At 36.6% G+C, this 26,944-nt stretch overlaps 1 protein-coding gene across 58 annotated transcripts in view; it reads left to right on the top strand.

The window, feature by feature from the left end:
- Positions 1-26,944, top strand: part of RALYL (RALY RNA binding protein like) — a 739,058-nt gene that overhangs the window by 614,751 nt on the left and 97,363 nt on the right. For 34 of the 58 annotated variants that reach the window (NM_001413301.1, NM_001354325.2, NM_001413311.1 and 31 more), the window contains one exon: positions 7,233-7,265. The exons of the other annotated variants lie outside the window; for them this stretch is intronic. In NM_001413301.1, the coding sequence (NP_001400230.1) occupies positions 7,233-7,265 (33 nt within the window). The remainder of the gene's footprint in view (positions 1-7,232; positions 7,266-26,944) is intronic. 58 annotated transcript variants of the gene reach the window in all.

The following is a 26,944-nucleotide window of genomic DNA, read 5'->3' on the forward strand; positions in this document are numbered from 1 at the left end:
ATCAGCCACATTGTTTTTTTCTACATAAAATATTTGCACCCACATTGGTCTTTAAAACTCTTTGAAATGCATATGAAAATTCCTTTGGAGAAAAAAAGTATGCAGTTAAAAAAAAAGAAGTCCTGTATTCCCTATTAAGAGATTAATTCCTAAAGGGTAGACAAACAAGATTTCAAACATCACTAGATTTGGACACTAGCTTTGGCCTGTAAATCGACTTTAGTGGAGAATGTTAACACTTCTCAATTCCTACTCCTTGCTGGCTTGAGTAAGGCACACAGGAGCCACTTTCAGAGATAATCTTCTCTTCTTTATTTACTTTTATCCTACAGAACAGATTGAAAGCCAGTGGCATAGATCTAGGCACAGGTTTTCTCAGTCAGTCAACATTTGGGGAGCATCTGCTATGTGTTGGGTGCCATGCCAGGTACAGGTTAATGCAACTGCCAGAACAGATCTTCTGCCCCCTTCTGAACTTTGCTTCTACACATCTAAGGTCCTGTTAGTGAGCCCAAATAAATATTCTTCACTCCACTCTTTTCTTCTTATTCTTCACTATCTCTGGGCGAACTTATTCTCTCTTATGATTTAATATACTAATTCTGCATTGATAACATGACTCCTGAATCTATTTCCAGCCCAAATGTCTCACCTGAGCTTTGAGCCCACATTTCCATCTGCTGAGTACTGCATATCTTCTCCAATATATCCCAACCTATTCCCCAACCTGAACTCTCTATTTCTATTAACTGGCTATGAATGCAGGAACAAGGATTCGAGGACTCAGAGATTAAAAAAAAAAAGTAATAACAATGATGGTTAATATTTATTAACCATTTATCCACTATTTATTTAAGTTATTTAGTTATCTAATGTGTGTAGTTATATATTTATTTCTCACAGTAGCTCTTTGAGATAGGTCTACTATTATTTCCATTTTGCAAATGAAATAATTGAGGCACAAAGAGAAGTCCCTTACTTCTCCAAGGCCACACAGCCAGAGGTGGTGGAGTCATGACTGGAATTAGGCAATCTGATTCTAGAACCTGTACACTTAAGCCCTTTGGCACATCCATCTTAAATGTAGGTCAGGGCTTGGGTTGTCATAGCTAAAAAGAACAGATCAGATAATGGTAAGTAGTATCACTGCCTGGAAATTTTAACTACAAAATTCTGTAAATATAATGGGTGGATATTTTTATAACATGCTTTGGATTCATGATAAAGCTCTAGTCTTTCAAAAGCTTGTGAAATTATTTCTGCAAAAACACACATATGCCGAAGCACAAGAGAAAAAGCAGGATGCGGGAAAGCAAAATGCCAATGCACAGGGGAAAAAGCAAGATGCCACCCAGACAGTGAGCAATTTGCTCAGCTTGGCTGGAGCGTGGAGTCTGTAGACTGAAGTCATAGAAGACAAAGGCTGAGAAGGTACACTGGAACCTGATTGTGAATGAACTTTTAGTTATATTAATACTATAAATATAGTAATAAAGTTATATTGGATTGTACTCTGTAGGCAAAACATGGGACTAGAAGTTGGGGAGCAAGGCAGGGAAGGTTCATCTAACACAATCATTACTGAGAGCCTCCAGTGAAGTAGGCATGATTCTAGGTACTTGAAATACAGTTTGTTTGTACCTCCAAGGAGTGTGCAGTCTTAGGGGGAGCTTGGCAATTACACTGGAAATTTTTAATTCACCACGGTTAAGTGTTACAGAGTGCTATGAAAATAGTTATGAAGTACCACTAACAAACCCATTGTGCCTTATAAGAAAATACTTCCTGGAAACATGCAGAGATTTGTAACGAGGAGAATTACATGATTATATTTGTATTTTAGAAATTTAATTCTGTTAGTAGATATGGCAACACCAAAGAAATACTGAAGAAGGAAGGTCATTGAAGAGATTAATGGATCATATAAAAGTTGATGATCACTTGAACTGTGAAAATAAGAATTGAGAGGCAAGTACAGAATCAAGAGGACTTTTGGCAACAGCAACAACAGAACTAGAAATGTTGTTGGAAAGGAGTTCATGAGAATGATTCCAGTCTTTCTTTTTAGTTTGGTCACCTAAGTGGCTGAGTTTTCCAAGTTAGGGAAAAACAAGGAAGAGCAAAATAAGCGAGGAAGGGCCGGGTGCGCTGGCTCACGCCTGTAATCCCAGCACTTTGGGAGGCCGAGGCAGGCGGATCACGAGGTCAGGAGATCGAGACCATCCTGGCTAACACGGTGAAACCCCGTCTCTACTAAAAATACAAAAAATTAACCAGGCGTGGTGGCAGGCACCTGTAGTCCCAGCTACTCGGGAGGCTGAGGCAGGAGAATGGCGTGAACCCGGAAGGTGGAGTTTGCAGTGAGCCGAGATCACGCCACTGCACTCCAGCCTGCCTGGGCAACAGAGCAAGACTCTGTCTCAAAAATAAATAAATAAATAAAATAAGGGAGGAAGACAGTAAATTTAGTTTGAGATATGTTAGCTTAGAGGCATCTACAATTAGAGATATTTCGTGGGCAGCTATAGCCACCTATCATAAATAGAATGATGCCAGAGATGTAAGTTTTGGAATTTCCAACATCTGAATCCAGGTGAGCTTTCTCAATAGAGCATAGAAGTATAAAGACAGACAATCTGACAGTACCTTGAGGCACATGTAAACAAAGCAAAACAAATAAAATAGATGACACATGAACTTTAGAGTCAGAATGTCTGAATTCAAATCCCAGCTCAACCACTTATGAGCTTTGTGATTTTGGACAAGGTACTTCATATCTTTTGGTCTCAGTTTCCTCATCTATAAAATGAGAACTACCTCAGATTGTATCATGACGTTTAAATAAATTAGTGTTTATAAAGAATGTTGAATAATACCTGGCCTTCAGTAAATACAATTTAGTTTTTATTAAATAAAAAGTATTATAATTCATTTAGCTCCAAATATTGACCTTCATTCTGTGTTCTATTTTATTTCTCCACTATGTCTTACTCTTCTGAAGGCTGTCGTTTGTTTATCTTATTCTACTCCTAATTCTAGTGGGTCCTGAATGAAGTATTATTAAATTCACTACCTATTTCACATGAAAAGTAAATCTTAGGAAAGATAAAAAAAATTCCTTTCTTCATGAAACAATTACCTTGTAAAAAAATCTTAGAAAAGTTCTCTCTAGGCATATCACAATGTAATGATCCGTTTCTACAGATTAAATTGATAAATAATTTTCTACAAAGGAATATTCCTCCTAGCAGTTTCCTTCTTTTACTTTTTTTTCATTTTTCAGGACCAACACTACTAAAATGATCTATTCATACATTTCAAGCAGTTTCAGACTTTAGAATTAACCTGTTTCTGGTATGGTCGTGACCATCAGGATCCACTCTGCCAGGAACAGTGCTAGATGCTCTAAATAGAAAATCTCATATTCTTCCCCAAACTCCTTGAGTTGGCTATGATGTTTGCTATATAATTGAGAAAAATGAGGTTATTCAGAGTCCCTGAATCATACCAAGCCTAGAGAAGCTGCCTCAATATAGTGAACAACAGCTAAGCAGTTGGTTTCAAAGCAGAGCATCATTCAACACGGGCCAGTTGTCTCTCCACTCTACAGTGTGTCATCATCATTTTGAGGATGAGACAAAAGGTAGAGTGGCCTGATGGGGGCACCCACCAAGATTTCCTGCCCTATTATTTCACCACAGAAGACACTTGGGAGTCCTGGTACCTTGGCCTTATCATCTATGGCTTGGAGGAACCAATGACCAATAATCTTTTTTTCTTTCAGCTCAGTTCATGAACCATCGGCAACATTCTCCCCTCTAGACCCATCATCAGAAGACTTAACACAAAACTGTTGGAAGTCTCTTGTCTAAACAGAGTACAGGTTTAATATTCTTACCAGTCTTAATGAGACTCTAAGTTCAGTTTTTTTTAATTGAATAACATTGTTCAGAGGATATGTCATAGTGATGGTGATGATAAGTATTACCTCAGAGATGGGCTTTTCCCTGTAAAATGAAGGCTTCAAGATCAGCTTTAAGAAGGAGTTAGATTGAGATAAATGTAAATGATAAATAGATCATGCATGGGAAAAAACAGTATTCTGGTATAGATATATAATGCTAAGTGTACCAAAGCAAAGCCAAATCAGATGTGTCTGGACAATACTTAGTTTTTCTGGAATGAAGTGTTTATTGTTTAGTTAGAGAAGCAGTAAAGAATGACATGGAAAACTGGTGAGGGCATGTTTGTGAAGATCTTAAAAGTTTGGGTACCATCTTCTTATGATTAATGAAATCAAGAAAGGTGGTAACACAAAAACATTTCAGGTGAATATGTTAGTAGGATCAGAGGTTGAAATGGTGATGTAGAGAAGGAATTCAAATTATTCTGAATTTCTAAATCTAGGAAAATAAATAACTTGATATGTATTAAAAGTAAAGAAAGCCTATTTTAGGAGGTTGTTTCCAATTCCTTCCAACAAAATAATATCTCACACACTGGCATACTTTTTCTATAAAGGCCACATAGCAAATATTTTAGGATTTTGGACATGCAGTCTGCTCTGCCACAACTACTCAACTTGTTGCCGTAGCACAAAGCAGCCTTAAACAATATGTAAATGAAGTCACATGGCTCTGTTTCAGTAAGCTTTATTTACGGACACTGAAGTTTGAATTTCATGAATTTTCATGTGTCACAAAATATTATTACTCTTCTTTTGATATTTTCCAGCTACTTTAAAATGTAAAAACCATTCTTAGCTTGGGGCTATACACAATCAGAGGGTGAGCAGGATTTGGCCACAGTTTGCAAACTCTTGGTTTATAGAACATCATCAGAACTTTCAATCCAACATCATTTTGAAAACTTTGAATTTCTTCTGAAGTCTTCTCTTGAGCATTTGGAAGGAGCTGGTTGAAGTGGGCTTGAAGTGGTAGGAGAAGGGGACAACTATTAATAACTAGCTAGTCAGACAAATCATACTAACCACAGGGGGCAGTAGGACAATATATGTCCCTGTATGCTCTAATCCAACAGTTGCTTGTCTGAAACCTTCAAAAAAAAAGAGAGAGAGAGAGAAATCAATCAATAAATACTACTGCAAACAAACACATTCTGAACTCAGTATTTTGATAATTGCAGAGGGAAAATCAAAAGTGGTGGGCTTTGCTTTTATTCAAGTTGCTTATGCCACCCTAAAGTGGTGCAATGCAGTACTTGCCCAAAGGAAGTGAGTGGCAGCATTGATGGAAGCTTAGTGTGAGAGCAGTGTGTAAAGTTGAAGTGACTTTGAACAAAGAATTTCGGAGAGACTAACTAGGCTGGGGTAACTAATGAAAACCAGGCTGGGAATGGAATGCAGAGGGGGACATGAGAGTCCCAAAGGAAAAATTGATGGGACTTGCTAACTAATGAGACATGGAGGCTGAAAAAAGAGAGAGGAGAAAGATATAAAACCTTTCAAAAGATTCTCATTATATTATTCAGTGCCACTAAGAATCACATACCAGTGAGAGGCAAGGGGGACGATGTAGTGTATAGAAAATGGGGAACATAGGAAGCTGGAGAGTAGCACTTCAAACAAGCAAATCACACACATACACTAATGTCTGATAAATGTCAGGCTGAAATTATTGGCAAATACAGAGAGAAGGGATCCCATTAATGCCCACATGCTATCTTTATTTCAAGTATTATCAGGTGGAAAATAAAGTAGTACCATTATCGTGTTGATGGTCTAAATATGTGAACAATCTCCTGCATCATATTATGTAGAATCCCCCTCATTTCTTCAAGGCAATTTCCTTTTGATCACTTGGCACTGGTCATGTCTTATAAAGCAAATATATCCAAACATTTTTCGTTGCTTCAGCTTTTCCCTCCCTAGTTCTGTTTGCTTATGTAGATCACAAATGTATGAGAAAAACAAACACAATAAGGCAATTAATGTACCTACAGTTAGAGATGTGAATAATATTGGAATTCAGAAAAGGAAAGGTTACATAAATAAACCTCTCCAAACTCTTAGCACCAACTATTGGTTTTATCTGCTTCTACCCTACCTAGAGCTGTCCAAAGGGATTGCTAAGGCACTTGCTTCCTAAAAATCCCTTTTCTGCCATTATGATTCACCCAAAGCAGCATGGTATATGGCGGAGATGCATGTCAGCTCTGCCTATAAATGCACCAAGGCATATTTCTCATAAGCACATTTTTGCCTACACAGAATGAAATAGAGACAAAAAAGTAATTAGTGCCTTCGTTGTTTGGACTCACATTTATAAAAATAAATGTTTAGCCTAATTCTAAGATAGTCATTTCAACTGTCTTTCTTAAAAATCTTAAACACCAGGATTTAGTTAAAAATATCTTCAGTTCGCCTACATTTCACCCTTAATTGTATCTTAAGAAACCTATAATGAAACTAGCGTGGCCAAAATACACTTACCAACAGGTTTCCTTAATTATTATCTAGGAACTATTTAGAAGTGGATGCTTTCCTGATTTACTTACATGTTGTAAAAAAAATGGAAAGTTAATTTATGAAATTAGAAAAGTAGCTGAAAGTAAGCCTAGCCCATTTTATAATGAGAAAAATAAAACACAGAATATGTTTTAAAGTGGCTTTCTCAAATGAACCACAACCTTCAGGATTAGACTTTCCCTTTGAGATATTGAGGTACAGAAAATACCAAGTTTTTAGAAGCACAAAGGAGGCTGAAGGACCCAAATTTGTGAGCTGACACTACCCCACCCTAAGGGGTGTTAAGACCAATAAATAACTATATATGGTATGCTGCTTCTCTCTTCTGAGTAAATCAGTTATTCAACTAACATGTAACAAGCACATTATAAATTATTTCACTATTACAACAACCACAAATAGATATATAGAAACGTCTACAAACAAATTACCATGTATAAAGAAAATGAGTAGATACAGAGAGTGCAATCAGAATTAGATTAATACTATGATCATCTTAATATATCAGTTAAATGTTATGTCCTCATTCCAAGACTCTCATTTTATTTAGCTTCTGCATTAATCCAGCTGCAAATTGAATTAGTCCAGATTAGGTCTTAGTATATTATTTATAGCTTTTTACTGGTGCTACATTATGCATTTTCATCCAAACAAGTATAATAATTTTGTCAGGTTCATGTAAAAGCAATTTTTGAATATACAGCAAATTTTTATATTAAAAGAAAATTTTCATATTTTTTCATAGACTTGAATCAAAGGAACCTTTCCTGTCTGTTGGGTAAGTATATATTTAAATACTTTAAGTATTAATTATTTAATTCAAATTTCCAAGAACTTCTGAGATGGTATTTTCAGTCATTTAACATCATATTCAAAATCATAACATATCAGTGCATGCAACATTGCTATCTATGTTTTATAAAGACTTAACTAAAATGCTCCCTAGGTTGTATTGTGACCTCAGAAATGCAGCTAATGAATGTATATGAAATCCTGTATCTTCCATAAAGGCTAAACAAGGTACACAGTGATCATCCATATTCTCTTCATGTAAAAATATACTCAGATTGGTTTTAAAAATTCCTCTGAGCCATAGCTCCACCATTCCAAGCCTGTCTACCCATTGCCATTCTCCATTTCTTTTCAATCTACTCTATTCACTGTTTCGTCACCCACTTCCCTAAGTCTGTCTTCACAATCAATATCTATCTTTTCTCCTTATCTCTCATTTCACTTTAATTTCTCCAGTTCACTCACATTGACTGCTTCTTTGCACCCAAAGCTGAGGAACCCTGAGGCAAATTTAGATAAGACGAACGCTTGCCTGCTCTGATGGTATCCTTCTTAGTCACAATACATATCTTTAAGAATAATATATTGTTGGCCAGGCGCGGTGGTTCATGCCTGTAATCCTAGCATTTTTGGGAGGTGGGCGGATCACCTGAGGGCAGGAGCTCAAGACCGGCCTGGCCAACATGGTGAAACTCTGTCTCTATTAAAAATACAAAAATTAGCTGGGCATGGTGGCACACACCTGTAATCCCAGCTACTTGGGAGGCTGAGGCAGGAGAATTGCCTGAACCTGGGAGGCAGAAGTTGCAGTGAGCCAAGATCACACCACTGCACTCCACTCCAGCCTGGGTGACAGAGCAAGACTCTGTCCCAAAAAGTAATAGTAATAAAATAATAACAATAATATGTTTTTGACATGAGTGCACATGTTCTATTTTTAGGCATTTCAAACTAAGAATAAGCAATGTTGTTTGTATCTGATCAAATACTCCTTTGACTAACATATTAAAGTGTATTATGAAAGGACTTTTGCACTTTCAATATTATAGATGATATTGTATGAAAAAGTTGTGAAAAATGCAATGTCTTGCCTAGAGAAATCATGCTATATTTGATGAGGGAAAAAAAGCTGTCATATATAGGCAGCCACAATACTGATGCTTAATGACCAGAAACATGGAATGGGGTTAGATTTTTAAGTGACCAGATCAATTTTCTTTTATTACTTTGTACATGGTCATTGAATATTTCTATCAATCACTCATTCAACAACATGGTTCCCAATTCCTTTCTACTCTTCATAAAAGCTTTTCAGAAAGCCACTCAAATCATGGAAATCAAAATAATTATTAGGGGATGTGGAAGACAAAAAATGGAATATATGCATTTATTTGAAGACTACATGGAAAATGAAAGGTCGAGTTGGTCTGGCCCAAAAAAAGTGATAAAGCATGCTTTTTTCCCTACATTGATCATCAGCTCCTATTGTTAAAAATCTCTACACCTGAAGAAATCTTTTAGTTTGAATGCATGTGTATTTGCCCTCAAGTCAAAAGGCCTGAAATAGCTTCTCTTCACGCCTCACTTCATGTAGTTTCTGTGCAGCCTTTACTGTTCTCCTGGCTATTATGAGATGGAATTCCTTTTTTATTGCATACTTCTGTTTTAAAAGGCAGACCCTAAGTAATCTTTGTTTTAAATTTATCAACAGTTTAGCACTGATTATTAGAACCCTGAGAAAATCTCTCCAAAAAAAAAAAAAAATACTGTATCGCTCAGCCAATGCTCAAAGTGGGAAAATTAGCATGGCACACATAAGATACTGCTTATGTCTTAAAAGTAAAGTGGTGTGAAAGGCAACCCAAATGATTCTGCTGAATGGATATTTTAATTTATAGCTAAATGTTTCTGTTCCCTCAAGAAAATTATTTTAAATAAGATTGTCCAAAAGTATGTATGCTAAGGTGGGCGACTCACTTGAGTTCAGGAGTTCGAGACCAGGCTGGACAACATGGTGAAACATCATCTCTACAAAAAATTACAAAAATTAGCTGGCCGTGGTGCCGTGCCTCTAGTCCTAGCCACCTGGGGGGCTGAGGCGGGAGGATCATTTGAGCCCAGCAGGTCCGGGCTACAATGAACCGAGATCGCACCACTTCACCCCAGCGTAGGCAACAAAGTGAGACCCTGTCTCAAAAAAATAAAAGCATGTATGTAGCTCTCTGCTGCCTTTTTCAGTGAGAAGATGTAAGTTCTTTAGTGGTGATTGGTGAGATTTTGGTGCGCCCATCACCCAAGCAGTATACACTGCATCATATTTGTGGTCTTTTAGCCCTCACCCCCCTCCCAACCTTCCCACCCAACCAAGTCCCCAAAGTCCATTGTATCATTCTTATGCTTTTCCATCCTCATAGCTTAGCTCCCACTTATCAGTGAACACATACGATGTTTGGTTTTCCATTCCTGAGTTACTTCACTTAGAATAATAGTCTCCAGTCTCATCCAGGTTACTGCAAACGCCGTTAATTTGTTTCTTTTTATGGCTGATTAGTATTCCATCATATAAATATACACCACAATTTCTTTATCCACTCTTTGATTGTTGGGCATTTGGGTTGGTTCTATGATTTTGCAATTGCGAATTCTGCTGCTATAAACATGCATGTGCAAGTATCTTTTTCATATAATGACTTCTTTTCCTCTGGGTGGATACCCAGAGTGGGATTGCTGGATCAAATGGTAGTTCTACTATTAGTTCTTTAAAGAATCTTTACACTGTTTTCTATAGTGGTTGTACTAGTTTACATTCCCACCAGCAGTGTAGAAGTGTTCCCTATTCACTGCATCCACTCCACCATCTACTGTTTTTTGATTTTTTGATTATGGCCATTTTTGCAGAAGTAAGCTAGTATTGCATTATGGTTTTGATTTGCATTTGCCTGATCATTAGTGATGTTAAGCATTTTTTCATATGTTTCTTGGCCATTTGTATATCTTCATTTGAGTACTATCTATTCATGTAATTAACCCACTTTTTGATGGGATGTTTGTGTTTTTCTTACTGATTTGATTGAGTTCATTGTAGATTCTGGATATTAGTCCTTTGTTAGATGTATAGATTGTGAAGATTTTCTCCCACTCTGTGGGTTGTCTGTTCACTCTCTTCTTTTTGCCATGCAAAAGCTCTTTAGTTTAATTAAGTCTCAACTATTTATCTTTGTTTTTATTGAATTTGCTTGCGGGTTCTTGGTCATGAAATCTAGGCCAATGTCTAGAAGCATTTTTCCAATGTTATCTTCTAGAATGTTTATAGTTTCAGGTCTCAGATTTAAGTCTTTAATCCTTCTTGAGTTGATTTATGTATAAGACGAGAGATGAGGATCCAGTTTCATTCTCCTACATGTGGCTTGCCAATTATCCCAGTACTATTTGTTGAATAGGGTGTCCTTTTCCCACTTTATGTTTTTGTTTGCTTTGTCGAAGATCATTTGGCTGTTAAGTATTTGGGTTTATTTCTGGGTTCTCTTCTCTGTTCCATTGGTCTATGTGCCTATTTTTATACCAGTACCACACCGTTTTGGTGACTATGTCCTTGTAATATAGTGTGAAATCAGGTAGTGTGATGCCTCCAGATTTGTTCTTTTTGCTTAGTCTTGTTTTGGCTATACGGGCTCTTTTTTGGTTCCATATGAATTTTAGAATTGTTTTTTCTAATTCTGTAAAGAATGATAGTGGTATTTTGATTGGGATTGCATTGAATTTGTAGATTGCTTTTGGCAGTGTGGTCATTTTCACAATATTGATTCTACCCATCCATGAACATGGCAAGTATTTCCATTTGTTTGTGTCATCTGTGATTTCTTTCAGCAGTGTTTTGTAGTTTTCCTTGTAGAGGTCTTTTGACTCCTTGGTTAGGTATATTCCTAAGTATTTTAAATTTTTTTGCAGCCATCGTAAAGTGGATTGCGTTTTTTATTTGATTCTTAGCTTGGTCACTGTTGGTGTGTAGCAGAACTACTGATTTGTGTACATTAATCTTGTACCCAGAAACTTTGCTGAATTCTTTTATCCATTCTAGGAGCTTTCTGGAGGAGTCTCTAGGGTTTTCAAGGAAAACAATCATATTGTTAGTAAACAGTGACAGTTTTACTTCCTCTTTATCAATTTAGATGCCCTTTATTTCTTTTTCTTGTCTAGTTGCTCTGGCTAGGACTTCCAGTGCTATGTGAAGAGGAGTGGTGAGAGTGGGCATCCTTGTTTTGTTCCAGTTTTCAGAGGGAATGCTTTCAACTTTTCCCCATTCAGTATTATGTTGGCTGTGGGTTTTTCATAGATGGCTTTTATTACATTGAGGGATGAGAGTTTTAACCATAAAAGGATGCTGGATTTTGTCAGATGCTTTTTCTGCATCTATTGAGGTTATCATGTGATTTTTATTTTTAATTCTATTTATGTGGTATATCACATTTATTGACTTGCATATGTTAAACCATCCCTGCATCCCTGGTATGAAACTTACTTGATCATGGTGGGTTATCTTTTTGATATGTTGTTGGATTTGGTTAGCTAGTATTTTGTTAAGGATTTTAGCATCTATGTTTATCAAGGATATTGGTCTGTAGTTTTCTTTTTTGGTTATGTCCTTTCCTGGTTTTGGTATTAGGGTGATGCTGGCTGCATAGAATAAATTAGGGAGGGTTTCTTCTTTCTCTATCTTGTGGAATAGCATCAAAAGATAGGTACCAATTCTTCTTTGAATGTCTGGTAGAATTCTGCTGTGAATCCATCTGGTCCTGGACATTTTTTTGTTGGTAATTTTTAAATTACCATTTCAATCTCCCTGCTTGTTGTTGGTCTGTTCAGGGTATCTAATTCTTCCTGATTTAAGCCAAGAGGATTGTATTTTTTCAGGAATTTATCCATCTGTTCTAGGTTTTCTAGTTTATGTGCATAAAGGTGTTCACAGTAGCCTTAAATGATCTTTCGTATTTCAGTGGTGTCAGTTATAATACCTCCTGTTTCGTTTCTTAATGAGGTTATTTGGATTTTCTCTCTTCTTTTCTTGGTTAATTTTGCTAATGGTCTATCAGTTGTATTTATCTTTTCAAAGAACCAGCTTTTTGTTTCATTTATCTTTTGTATTATTTCTTTTTGTTTCAATTTCATTTAGTTCTGCTCTGATCTTGGTTATTTCCTTTCTTTTACTGGGTTTGGTTTTGGTTTGTTCTTGTTTCTCTAGTTCCTTGAGATGTGACCTTAGAATGTTAGTTTGTACTTTTTCAGTCTTTCTGATGTAGGCATTTAGGGCTATGAACTTTCCTCTTAGCACCACCTTTACTGTATCCCAGAGGTTTTGATAGGTTGTGTCATTATTGTCGTTCAGTTCAAAGAATTTTTAAATTTCCATCTTAATTTTGTTTTTGACTCAATGCCCATTCCAGAGCAGCCTATTTAATTTCAATGTATTTGCAAGGTTTTGAAGATTCCTTTTTGAGTTGATTTCCACTTTTATTCCACTGTGGTCTGAGAGGTGCTTGATATAATTTCAATTTTCCTAAATTTATTGAGGCTCATTTTATGGCCTATTGTATGGCCTATGTTTTAGAAAGTCCCATGCACTCTTGAATAGAATGTGTGTATTCTACAGTTGTTGGATGAAATGTTCTGTATATATCTGTTAAGACCATTTGTTCCAAGGTAAACTTTAAATCCATTGTTTCTTTGTTGACTTTCTGTCTTGATGACCTGTCTAGTGCTGTCAGTGGAGTATTGAAGTTCCCCACTATTATTGTGTTGCTGTCTATCACATTTCTTAGGTCTATTAGTAATTGTTTTATAAATTTGGAAGCTCCAGTGTTAGGTGCATATATGTTTAGGATTGTGATATTTTCCTGTTGGACAAGGTATTTTACCATTATATAATGTCCCTCTTTGTCTCTTTTAACTGCTGTTACTTTAAAGTTTTTGTTTTGTCTGATATAAGAATAGTTATCCCTGTTCACTTTTGGTGTCCATTTGCATAAAATGCCTTTTTCCACCCCTTTACTTTAAGTTTATGTGAGTCCTTACGTATTAGGTGAGTCTCCTGAAGGCAGCAGAGAGTTGATTGGTGAGTTCTTATCCATTCTGCAGTTCTGTATCTTTTAAGCAAAGCATTTAGGCCATTTATATTCAATGTTTAGTATTGAGATGTGAGGTACCGTTGCATTCATCATGCTATTTGTTGCCTGCGTACCTTGGTTTTGTTTTTTGTTTTTTTTTCTTTTTAACTTATACTTTTGTTTTCTAGGTCCTGTGTGATTTATGCTTTAAAGAGGTTCTGTTTTGATGCGTTTCCAGGATTTGTTTCAAGATTTAGAGCTCCTTTTAGCAATTCTTATAGTGGTGGTTTGGTACTGGCAAACTCTCTCAGCATTTGTTTGTCTGAGAAAGATGGTATGTTTCCTTTATATATGATGCTTAGTTTCGCTGGATACAAAATTCTTGAATGATAATTGTTTTGTTTAAAGAGGCTGAAGATAGGACCCCAATCCCTTCTAGTTTGTAGGGTTTCTGCTGAGAAATCTGCTGTTAATCTGATAGGTTTTCCTTTGTAGGTTACCTGGTGCTTCTGTCTCACATCTCTTAAGATTCTTTCCTTCATCTTAACTTTAGATAACTTGATGACAGTGTGCCTAGGTGATGATATTGTTGTGATGAACTTCCCAGGTGTTCTTTGTGCTTCTTGTATTTAGATGTCTAGTTCTCTAGCAAGGCCAGGGAAGTTTTCCTCGATTTTTCCCCCAAATATGTTTTCCATACTTTTAGATTTCTCTTCTTCCTCAGGAATACCGATTATTCTTAGGTTTGGTCATTTAATATAACCCCAGACTTCTTAGAGGCTTTGTTCATATTTTCTTATTCTTTATTATTTGTCATGGTTGGATTGGTTTAATTTGAAGGCCTTGTCTTTGAACTTCAAATTTCTTTCTTCTACTTGTTCATTTCTATTGCTGAGACTTTCCAGAGCATTTTGCATTTCTGTGTGTCCAGTGTTTCCTGAATTTTTTATTATTTGTTTCTTTATGTATTTCCTTGAATATTTCTCCCTTCACTTTTTTTGGACTTCCTTGCATTGGGCTTTGCCTTTCTCTGGTGCCTCCCTGATTAGCTTAATAACTAACCTCCTGAACCCTTTTTCAGGTAAATCGGGGATTTCTTCTTGGTTTGGATCCATTGCTGGTGAACTAGTGTGATTTTTGGGGGTGTTTAAGAGCCTGTTTTGTCATATTACCAGAGTTGGTTTTCTGGTTCCCTTTCATTTGGGTAGGCGCTGTCAGAGGGAAGGTCTAGGGCTGAAGGCTGTTGTCCAGATTCTTTTGTCCCACAGGGAGTTCTCTTGATGTAGTACTCTCCACATTTCCCTGTTGATGTGGATTCCTGTGAGCCGAACTACACTGATTGTTGTCCCTCTTCTGGGTCTAGCCACCCAGCAAGTCCACCCAGCTCCAGTCTGGTACTGGGGGTTGTCTGCAGAGTCCTGTGATGAAATGGACTCTGTCAGGGTTCTCAGCTTTGGTGGTTTAATGCTCTATTTTTGTGCGGGTTGGCCTTCTGCTGGGAGGTGGCACTTTCCAGGGAGCATCAGCTGTGGTAGTATGGAGAGGAACCAATGGTGGGTGGGGCCCTAGAACTCCCAAGATTATATGCCCTTTGTCTTCAGCTACCAGGGTGAGTAGGGCAGGACCATCAGGTGGGGGCAGGGCTAGGCATGTCCGAGCTCAGGCTCTCCTTCGATGGGTCTTGCTGTGGCTGCTGTGGGGGACGGAGATGAGGTTCCCAGGTCAAGAAGGATTGTGGCTGCCTCTTCTGCATCATGAAGGTTGTCAGAGAAGTGGGAGAAAACTGGCAGTCACAGGGCTTAACCAGCTCCCATGCAAACCAAAGGGCAGGTCTCACTCCCACCATGCCCCCGCTAACAGCCCCAAGTTGGTTTGCAGGCAGTGGGTGAGCCAGGCTTGAGAACTTGCCCCAGGCTACCTGTCTCCCAGCTGCGAAAGAAAAAGGTTTGGTTCTTCCCCAGCCTGTGGAGTCTGCACACTGGATTCCCGCTCTCCCTTGAATTTTGGCTAGGAGGCTTCTTGCCCCTTTCAAGTTGTTACAAAATTCAGCTGGAGATTTCCTTCTGCCTGTGGTATTTTTCCCCCGCTCCTCTGGCCACCCTCCTGATGGATCCCTGTGGTGCCAGGCAGGAATGGCCTGCTTGAAGACCCAGCGAGCTCCCGGGGCTTTTCCCACTGCTTCCTCTATCCCTGTATTTCACTCAGCTCTTGAAATTGACTCAGCTCCAGATAAGGTCGGAAACTTTTCTGCCACAAACAGACCTTCAGTTTCTCCAGTCGGGGGTGTGTGTTTGGGAGAGGAGGATCTCCCTTTCCCACTTCTGCAGTTGGGGCACTCAGTATTTGGGATGTCTCCTGGGTCCTGCAGGAGCACTCTGCCTCCTTCAGAGGGTCTGTGGGTCCTCTTGGGATTGCTGGTTCATTCTTGCAGTTGATCTGGAGCTAAAATTCACCATGCGAGCCTCTGCACGCTGCTCTGTCTGTCCAAGTGGGAACTGCAGTCTAGTCCTGCCTCCCATTCCTCTGTGATGATCAAATTTATGACTTTTAATCCATAGTCACATGTCAGAATAAGTGCATGGTATATGGTTTATTACATCAGTTGACATGTGAGTATGTAACATTGAATTTGTCCACAGCACACCTCACTCACATTAATTTTAATTCTATGTTCAATAAAAATGTGTGAATTATATTAATGAATAAATCACTGCTAAATATTGCATACTTCAGTCCACTGCCTGTCAGTGTCTTAAAGTATTTGTTAATATGCACTGGTGAAAGTTGCTTTCACCCTCATAGGCTTGGACACTTACAAGCTAGATGTGTTAGTTTAGGCAATTACTTTTTTTTTAATACTTTAAGTTCTAGGGTACATGTGCACAACGTGCAGGTTTGTTACATATGTATACATGTGCCATGTTGGTGTGCTGCACCTATTAACTTGTCATTTACAGGAGGTGTATCTCCTAATGCTACCCCTCCCCCCACCCCACGACAGGCCCCAGTGTGTGATGTTCCCCTTCCTGTGCCTAAGTGTTCTCATTGTTCAATTCCCACCTATGAGTGAGAACATGCAGTGCTTGGTTTTTTATCCTTGCGATAGTTTGCTGAGAATGATGGTTTCCAGCTTCATCCATCTCCCCACTTAAACTCCCAAGCTTCAGGTTCTTGTTTGTGAAATGGAGATTAAAAGATTTAGATAATAATTTATATCAAACATTTAGCACACTTTTTGACACATAAGAATTGCTCATAAATGTTAGCTATCATTACAATTCTGGAAGGTATATTTATGTATCATGTTCTAAAGAGTCAATCAGAAAGCTTTAAAATAATAAATCTCCATTTTTATAGGCAGTGCTTTGAGTTACATTATAAAAAGCAAAAGAAGTTTCATTATAAAAACCAACAGAAGTTATTATAATGGGGAAAGATAAAAATTGTCATGAAATGAGTTATCAAGCAATATGAGTACAGATGTTTCAGATTTTAATGATGAATACTAGTAATTGTCATTTAGATTTTAATGATGAATACTAGTAATTGTCATTTAAATTTTTTAAGTAGAAATATTGATACATTTTTAATATGCATCTCATCTTAATATAAATTGGTGAACCAAATTCTTCCCTGGATAAATGTGCTGTACTAATTTTGAAATAAAATTGTTTGGTCACAACATAGACCCAATCTGAATATTGCAGTGGAAAAAAAAACTGTCAAAGAAAGTTACAAGAAGTTATTTCCTTACTGAGAAAGAGCATGGAGTTGTGAAAAGAAGTTGAGTGAAATCTCAGGTCTCTGATCTGCAACTATATATATGATATAAAAAGAACTTTCTTCATATGCACCAGGAAATGACTTCTAAAATAATGTCATTGAGGGGGGAAAAAAGACCTGTTACTTCTTTGTTCATTTAATGTAGTTTCCCTCTAATACACCTAGAGTGAGGCATGAAAGCTCATCCCAAGTGTGATTCTGTTTGCACAGGTAGATCAACAGATGCAGTGTTTTCCAACGCTACCTAGGTGATTCTGATACCAGTGGGGCCTGGGAGCCATCATCTACAAGGTGCTTTCATCCACCTCCATTGTTTTCCATACACACATGCACAGGTTGTCATTGTAAACACTTACCATCTCTGGAGTCCCTTCAGAAAATCTTCGAAATGTAATGTCCACAATCCCTCCCTGTTTTAAATGCATGTGGTGGAGGCAGCCACATTGAACTAGAACTATCTTGGAGTTCACTCCACAGAGACCAGGATAGATGCAAAGAGCCCAGAATATATGCCATGGAAGCCTCCACACTGCCTATGCAGAAGTACATATAAATTCATTCTGATGTCATCTTAGACCTAAGGCTGGGATCATAATAAATTTTAAACTTCAAAATATTAAATAATATAATTTCAATATTTAATAAATGTCTATTTTTTAAATATTAATATTTTCTATTTTAAACTATTATAAGTATTTATATATTTACTATTTATATATTTATTAAATATATTTAAATTTATTATAAATACATAATACTGAATGTTTATATTATTATAAATAAAATATATTTATAAAATACATTTGAACATTAAAATTCTTGCCCATCTTAACATTTTTTAAGATGTTAAGCAACCTTGTTTTTTAATGGAGGGCTTAAGTTTGGGGGCTCATATTCCAATCATCCTTGAAACATTATATTTTTTTAGAGCAATTAACATAATAAAATTCTGCTAGGAGAATGCTTCCTTTCAATGCTGCATCAGATATACTCTGATCTTGGAAATAAGCTGAGAGAAAACAGGCATCAAGTTTGCATTTAGAAAGGTGAATAAGGCCAGGCGCGGTGGCTCATGCCTGGAATCCCAGCACTTTGGGAGGCCGAGCAGGCAGATCACGAGGTCAGGAGATCCAGACCATCCTGGCCAACATGGTGAAACCCCAGCTCTACTAAAAATACAAAAATTAGCTGGACGTGGTGGTGTACACCTGTAATCCTAGCTACTCGGGAGGTTGAGGCAGCAGAATCATCTGAACCGGGGAGTCAGAGGTTGCAGTGAGCCGGGATCATGCCACTGCACTCCAGCCTGGCAACAGAGAGAGACTCTGTCTCAAAAAAAAAAAAAAAAAAAAGAAAAAAAGAAAAGAAAGGTGAATAAGCACAGAGTGATCATCAAGATTCTAATATATAAATCTTAGTTTAAAACCAGTCTTGCCTTGAAAAAGTTATTACAACTTTTTAATGAAAACACAAATGAGAAGGAATCAAAGATCCTTCATTTGAAGACTGAGATTTCCATTTTAAGGTTACATGTCAAAAAATGCATGAAGTTTCTTCAAGCACTGACTGTTGATACCTTGCAGACACTGAGCCACTTTGAGCATACACTCACAGCACCAAAGGAAACTTTCCACATGAATTATTTCTTCTTCTTCAGCATGAAGTTGAACTTTTAAAGAAGACTTTAATATGAATTAGTTGTATTTTGAAATTAAATATCGATTTATACCAATTTTTCATTTGATGAATTTTTTCATAAGTAGCTTTATATGAGGATGCTTATTACATTGGTTAAAAAAAACTTCAGATTTTGTTCACTGTATCAGAATAATTTAACTAAGTCAGAACAATTTAAAAGTTATATTGACTTATCTCACAATATATTATTTCCCAGGTTTGGTTGGAAGATCTTCAAGAATACATCACTGGGGCAGGGGCGGGGGTATGGTTAATGGATACAAAAAAAATTAGAAAGAATGAATAAGACCTATTTGATTGCACAACAGGGTGACTATAGTCAATAATAACATAATTGTACATCTTAAGTAACTATAAGAGTGTAATTGGATTGTTTGTTTGTAACACAAAGCGTAAATGCTTGGGAGAATGGATACCGCATTCTCCCTGATGTGATTATTACACATTGCGTACCTGTGTGAAAATATCTCATGTACCCCACAAATATATATGCCTACTATGCACCCACTAAAGTTAACATTAGAAAATTTTAAAATTATAAAAAGAAATAAAAAGAATACATCAATGATAAAAATATCAGAATTATTTTATTATATTTATCTCTATTGAAGCACTATGTGTGAGCTAAGCATGGACCAGCCAAGCCTGGATCGCCTAAGTCCTTTGAGATGCACGGGATCTATTCTACTAAATCCAAACAAGAGAGAGTAAATACTTTCAGGGCAACAAGGCTTGCCCTGCATCCAAAAATGACCTTATAATTGCTAACAGCTGTAGTTCACGAACCCATTTTCCTTGAGGTTTATTTTCTCCCTTTTCTTTCCAGTCTTGAAGTAGAATTTAGATCTTCAATATACTTCTGCTGTTATGAAAACTTTATTAAACCTTGATGTTCTTATTAGGTTAAAGACTCACACTATTTTACATTTATCCAGGTTTTGTAGGAAACCTCATATTTAGTAACAGATGCTATATATTATTATAGTATTAGCCACTTGCTTTAAGAGCCCAAGTTCTGTGATTTGATTTCCTTCCTCTGAATCCTATTCTGTCACTTCCTAGACAGATGGCTTTAGCAATTTGTTTAACTTTCCTGAGTCTCCATTTGCTCACTTAAGGTAGTAACTAATCTTTTATTATTATTATTATTATTATTATTATTATTAATTTCTTTTGAGACAGGGTCTTACTCCATCTCCCAGGTTGGAGTGCAGTGGTGCAATCACAGTCACTGCAGCCTCAACCTCCCAGGCCCAAGTGATCCTCCCTCCTCAGCTTCCCAAGTAGCTGGAACTATAGGCATGAGCCACCACACCTGGCTAATTCTTATCTTTTCTAGAAACGGGGGGTCTCACTGTGTTGGACAGGCTGGTCTTAAACTCCTGATTTCTAGCAATCTTCCCACCTCATCCTCCAAAAGTGCTGGGATTACAAGCATGAGCCATCATACTGGGTCATAACTAACTCTTAACAGCTGTTATGAATGTGATAATACTTAGTGTCTGACACATCGTAAACAGGAAATAAATATCAATTATTAAAAACATTCTTTGCAGCAATTAAGTTGTAAATCTTTTCTAAAGTTTCACTGAATCGCAGAAATGTTAACCAATTGAATCCAAAGGACTGAATATTTTAGAAGTGTTAAGAGAATCCAATTCTCAGTTCAGAAGAGAGTGAAATCAGCACAGGAGTGACAGACTGCCTTACTAGGGAAGATCACTGAGGAAGAGAGACAAGAAAAAAAGCAAAACAGCAGCCTGAAGACAGGAAGACAATTCCAGGCTGTACTTAGAGTGATATAAAATATGGAGTACAATATTGAAAACTTTAATAATAGGAACATGAAAGAGGGAAAGCAATACTGATTTAAGGATGGTTGGTAGCAGAACACATAAAAGCAAAAGCAGATTTATATTAATGCCATCAAATGATAGCTGTCTATCAAGCATTTAGGAATTGAGAAGTTAAAGAAACTGGTCAGATTATTAGGAAAATTTCCAAGACAAAAGTAGGACCTGAGTTTTTCTTCAAGGTGAGGTAAGAATTCAATAAGGAGCTATTAAAATGGCATTCCTGGGAGACAAAGTTGGATGAGTAGCAGCAGAGAAGGCACCATACCCCACGTATCAGACATTCCAGTCTAGTGAGCTAGGAAGATTCAGGAAAAGACAAAAGATAAGATTGGCAAATTCAGGGAGAATCTGTATTGAGAAATTATCCTAATACAAGGAGCTTTCTGCTCATTCTGTGGGTGAAGTGGAGCCATTCAATGATGTATACCTGCTTGGCTGTTTTGCTTTCAACTGAAGAGTGATATTATCCAAAGTGAGCCACTTATAAAGCAGTTGCAGAAGTTCAGGCATGACTTGAAAAGATGCAGGACTTGAATAGAATGAAATAAGAATGTAAAGAAAATGCCTGATGAAATAGCATTTTCTTTAAGAATGTCGAAATCAGTGAGTGAGTGGTGTCTTAAAGTTTTCTCAGTTAGACTTGATGGGATCATGGTGACAGCATGACAAGCTAAAATCCATGCGTAGTGTTGAAACTAAGGGAAGGTTAACAAGAAATTGTCCCCAAGCTTTAAATATGCCCATCTAACATCACGGAATTACTAATGGCCAATTCAATGCCTGTCTTTTGATGATGTGGTTTCAATTTTCTCTATGTCTGCAGGGAAAAAGGGATAAGGAGACAAAGCCAATTTTCTTCTAAAAATCTACTTTTTTGCGTTTTTTTTAAGACTCAGACAGTGCTACCACAAAATTAATGATTTCTTTACCAACTGCATTTGCTTCATTTTTTTCCCCAAAGCCCTCCAGGCTACTTCTCTGGAGAGTACACAAAGTTTCCACAGCGCTATTTTTGTAATCTAAAGCAGTTGTGCTTTCAGGCCTGATGCTACAACTGTAATTTTAATTTATCAACCTGCCAGTCAGTGAAATGCTGTAAAAACATGTGAAAGCTTAAACCCATCATTTATTTCTGCACCTGTCAATGACACTTTTCTGTACTTGTCAAAATCATTTAAACTGCACTATGATGGCATATACAATATCACCAGTAAATTGGGTAATCAATCATGTATGTGCATATTTTGACAGTGGCGTGTTGAATGCATGGGCTCCTGTATGCATTTTTAAGAAGTAGGCACTCATTACTGTTCAATAGTAAAATACAGTAGAGTCATCAAAAAGAGTCTCCCTCAGTCTTTTACAATTAAAAAAATGTCTTAAGAAACAGAGGGGCTGATTGTGCCTGAAATGGCTTTTATTTCTTCAGCAAAATGTTCTCCTTGGGGAAAAGGAAGCAATTGCAGGTTATAGCAGGCAGCAATATAGTGTTACATGGAGGGAAGAAAATGTATAGGATCATTAAATAGATTTATTTAAGTTCTGCTTATAAAGAAAGCAGTGGTGCAGTACTTTATAGTTGATGATATTTCAAAAGAGTGTTATCAGCACTTCTACCACTATCTAATTTGTTCATATAATAAAGTGTCACATTAAACCCAATATCACAATTCATATCAGTTTTACTTCAAAAATTGGTATCATCATATATCATAGGGAACCCTGCCCCAAAAAAATTTTGATGAGATCTTTCATCACAATAAATTATAGAATTTAAAAAATCAATCTATTAGAGAGTGAGAGAGAGAGAACCTGTTCAATCATTAAATCCACTCAACCCAGTAACAATTTGATGTCATTTAGGCTGTGTTTCTAAGATAAAATGTTGTTAAAATTGTAACTTAAATATTCTCTAAATAATCTAACTGTACCCTCTGAACTCTTGGTTGTAGCAATCCTCACCATTTATTTATTTTTAAAAAGCAAGTCTTATGAGAAACCCTTTAAAATCTATGAAGGATTTATGACCACTTCATAACATGCAAGTCTAAATTAGCCAAACTAATTTGTAGACATCAAATATTTCTACATAAGAAAATGAATCAGTAAACTTGACATGCATAAGCTCTCACTCATGGGAAAGAACTAACCTTAAGTGATGTTTCAGAATCACATATAAAACAAACAAAGCTTTGGGAGGTGCATTAATGTACACAGCCAGCACTGTTTCCTTATTGTTACCAGTACTGTTTTCAAGGAACATGAATTTAGTTTTGTTTTGTCTTGTTTTTTTAATTTTACTCTAAGTTCTGGGACACGTGTGCTGAACATGCAGGTGTGTTGCATAGGTATACATGTGCGATGATAGTTTGCTTCACCTATCAACCTGTCATCTAGGTTTTAAGTCCTGCATGCATTAGGTATTTGTCCTAATGCTCTCCCTCCCCTTTCCCCTTGCCCCCTGACAGGCCCTGGTGTGTGATGTTCCCCTCCCTGTGTCCGTGTGTTCTCATTGGAACATGAGTTTTTTAAGGTGTCAAGCCACATTGGAAAGGGTAATCATATAGTCAGACTGTTGAAAGATATATTTACTGAATGTGTATATGAATAAAATAGAAATGGTGGCTAAGATTAGATGTCATATGTAGAATCAATACTGCACGAAGAGAGTTGTTATTGTTTCAATTTAAAAATAAGATCTTAGTCTCATATACTTTTAATATCAGTCCTGAAAATAATCACTAAAAATAATGCAAAATAAGTGCTTTGATTTCACTCGGCTACCTTCAACTCATCTCAAAGAAAGCTAATTAAGCTTACTTGAAGAGAACTCATTTCTCTTTGTTTTAGCTCCATTAAATATACTGAAGACTGAATTTTCAATTAAATAATACTTGATTATCTAAATAATTTTTTGGCAGTTTAAACAGCATTTATTTCAGACAGTTCAAAGTATTGACTATCCTTTATTTTGTGTTCTTCAATGAATCTTTACTGATTCTCATAAAGACAAAATAGATATCATCATTCATTTAATGCTGAATAAGTGAGATACAGAGACATGATGATATCTCCATAAATAAACACAGAATATTGGTAGCCATTTTGGAATGGAGTCCAGTCTGGGACTTTTGCTTACAAAGCTGGCAACTTCATGTATCTTAACACCTCATGTTTTCTTCTGAGTTTCATCTGCACTTGAATGTCTAAATAATAGCTTTAATTATTCAGGAAAATAATCATGTATGTAAAAAGTTATTTATTGCTTTTAGAGCTATTGTGAATCCCAGATTTGCACTATAAAAGTGCTAGCAACAGTTTTAAAGCCTCACTTCCCAATCACATTCTGTTCATCCAGCCAGGAGTGACTGATCTTTATTTTATCAATCTCAAAATGTGACCTTTTCAATGCTTTTAATGACATTTTCAAAGTACAGAAATGCTTTTTGATTCAAAAGGATTTTCTACTTTATTCTGCAGAACAAGTCAGCTATCATAGTATAATCAATAGCTGCCAACTATTAGCAAAAGCCACACATCACTTATACTTTAAGAGCTTATCAGGAAGAAAAAATGCATTGAGTGGCTATATTTTGGCATGCTAACTAAGGTAGATATTAAAATGAAAAGTCAATCCTCAAATGTTTCATGTTTTTAGAAATGTTATTATTTCCTTAGTAAAAATTTCACTAGATCACATTCAAAATATACCATTAGAAGCTGCTGGCCACATTCAACTTCAAAATGAAATAATGTGCTTGTAGTTTTATTCAGTGTTAGGCAACCAACTACAGTTTCCCCCTAGCTTCAATTAAAAGCATATAAAAGATGAAACACTTGTTGAGACATTTCTTCCAGATACTGGCTAAATTATCATATCATGCAAGTGGTATTTCAGTTAAGTGTATATTATAGCCCAATTGGATACTAAAAGTCTTGAAAGCCTTTTTAAAAGTGAGGTTCTCTAGAGAAGTTATTTTAAAGATGTGTTCTGTAAATCATGGGCCTTTGATTATCCAGCCCATGGCAGGCTAAGCACTCCAAATTCCCATGTAAAGCCACCAAGTCACAAATTAAGGGATTGCCCAATAAATCAAAGCATTCATTCCTAATTAATTTTCTTAAGTTGCCAGGTTTTCGTTTGAAGCTCTTGTGAAAGGATTTGATAGCATTGCTGCCCTTTCTGTGAAGAATAGCTGTCTAATTTCATTAAGTGCATCAATTCAACATTTGAAGGGCACTGTGTATGTGCAAAATATTATATGATAATAATGTCAGTTGCTGTTCTAAACTAGCCTGCTAGACAGGGATAGTTTCCTACTATTGTGATTAAAAATTGAGCTTTCCTTCCATATTACAAAGATAACAACACCAAATCATCATTGATAGGGAATTTAGTAAAATATTTAGACATTTATTTTGGCAATGTAAGATGAAGAGTAGTATCAAAATCATTTAGACTTAACTAACAATATGTCTTCAAAAATTATGCAATGCACATTGTTTTTAAAAGCATCGTTAATTGCCTAACAGTACCCGCCAAACTACAAATCAGGGGTTAAAAACAGGAAGTAGATCTTATGATGCCATTTCATTCTAATCAAGACTTTATTTCCAGTATCTTTATTGTTATTTTTGAATATCAATTCAGTTATATTTAGATAAAATTTATTCAGTGCAAAATTCCATTTACGTTATATTGGTAGATGCAAAGCAAGATGCGAGGTGCACTGAACTGCTGCTTCATCTCATAGTGGATTCAGTAAAGCAGTGCCAATCAATGAATTGTTTTTACCATTTCATTTCAGAAAGTAGGAGTAAGCATTTTAAAACGTGTAGCATGTTTATATGCTATCGTTATAGCATGTTATATGATATCAAAATGTATGATTTTGTACAAAAGTATCAGACTGTGATAGATTGGAAATATTTTAAATAAAAAATAAAAATTTGGTTCTTTACTGCAATAAGCCAGGAAGCCCTAGACAAGACTACATCTTTGCCTTTGGGGAGGTAGTAATCTAATGAACAGGACAAAACAAATAATTTGGTGTCTATAATATAAGGCATTGCTTGGGAATTCTAATCTGCTGAAGAAGATAAAATAAAAATGAACAGACATCTGTAACATAAGTCATTCCTTGAAGACTCTTGAAAGAGAGGAAATAAAAGGCTGCAGGACTAGTGGTACCTAATGGCACACAAAGCCAGGTGGGTTTAGTTTCTTTTTGGAGATAGGTAGTAGCACCATTTTTCTTAAAAGAGACACTGGATGACGTGCCTGGAAAATTAAACAATGACTATATCAAGGGAGACTAGAAAGCCCTGAATATGTTTTAACTTTTCTTCAACTTCCCTCTCCCTTTCTCACCCCTCCCACCTCTGCCTTCTTCTCTTACTTTCTCTCTCTCCTCCTTGACACCTCTTTATTTTCCTCTCACTCTCCTTCTTTTCTTCTCTCTTTCCTCTTCTCTTCCTTTCTCCTCATTCTCTCCTTGTCCTACTTCTTCCCTCTACTTCTTTATCTCTCTCTATTCCTCCTTCTTTCAGCTTCTCTATATTTTTTCTTCATTTAAAAAATGCATGCCTTCTATCAGAAGAGAATACCTCAAAATATTAAGAGGCATCTGTGACAAACCCACTGCCAACATCATATTGAACAGACAAAAACTGGAAGCATTCCCCCTAACACCTGGAACAAGACAAGTATGCCCACTCTGACACTCCCATTCAACAAGGTACTAGAAATGCTAGCCAGAGCAATCAGTCAAGAGAAAAAAATACAAGTCATACATATGGGAAAATAAACTATCTCTCTTCACAGATGACAAGATTTTATACCTAGAATGCCCTAAAGACTCCACCAAAAGGCTCCTGCAACTGATATGCCACTTCAGTAAAGTTTCAGCCTACAAAATCAGTGTACAAAAATCAGTAGCATTTCTATATACCAATAATGTTCAATTTGAGAACCAAATCAAGAATGTAATCCCATTTACAATAGCTGCAAAAAAAAAAATAAGTCAGTAAACAAAGGAATACATCTAACCAAGAAGGTGAGAGATCTCTACAAGAACTACAAAACACTGTTCAAAGAAATCATACATGACACAAACAAATGGAAAAACATTCTATGGCTCATGAATTGGAAAAAATCAATATCTTTAAAATGGCCAGACTGCCCAAAGCAACCTATAGATCCAGCACTATTCCTGTCAAACTACCAA

The sequence above is a fragment of the Homo sapiens genome, chromosome 8, assembly GCF_000001405.40.
Source record: "Homo sapiens chromosome 8, GRCh38.p14 Primary Assembly".
Taxonomy (NCBI): domain Eukaryota; kingdom Metazoa; phylum Chordata; class Mammalia; order Primates; family Hominidae; genus Homo; species Homo sapiens.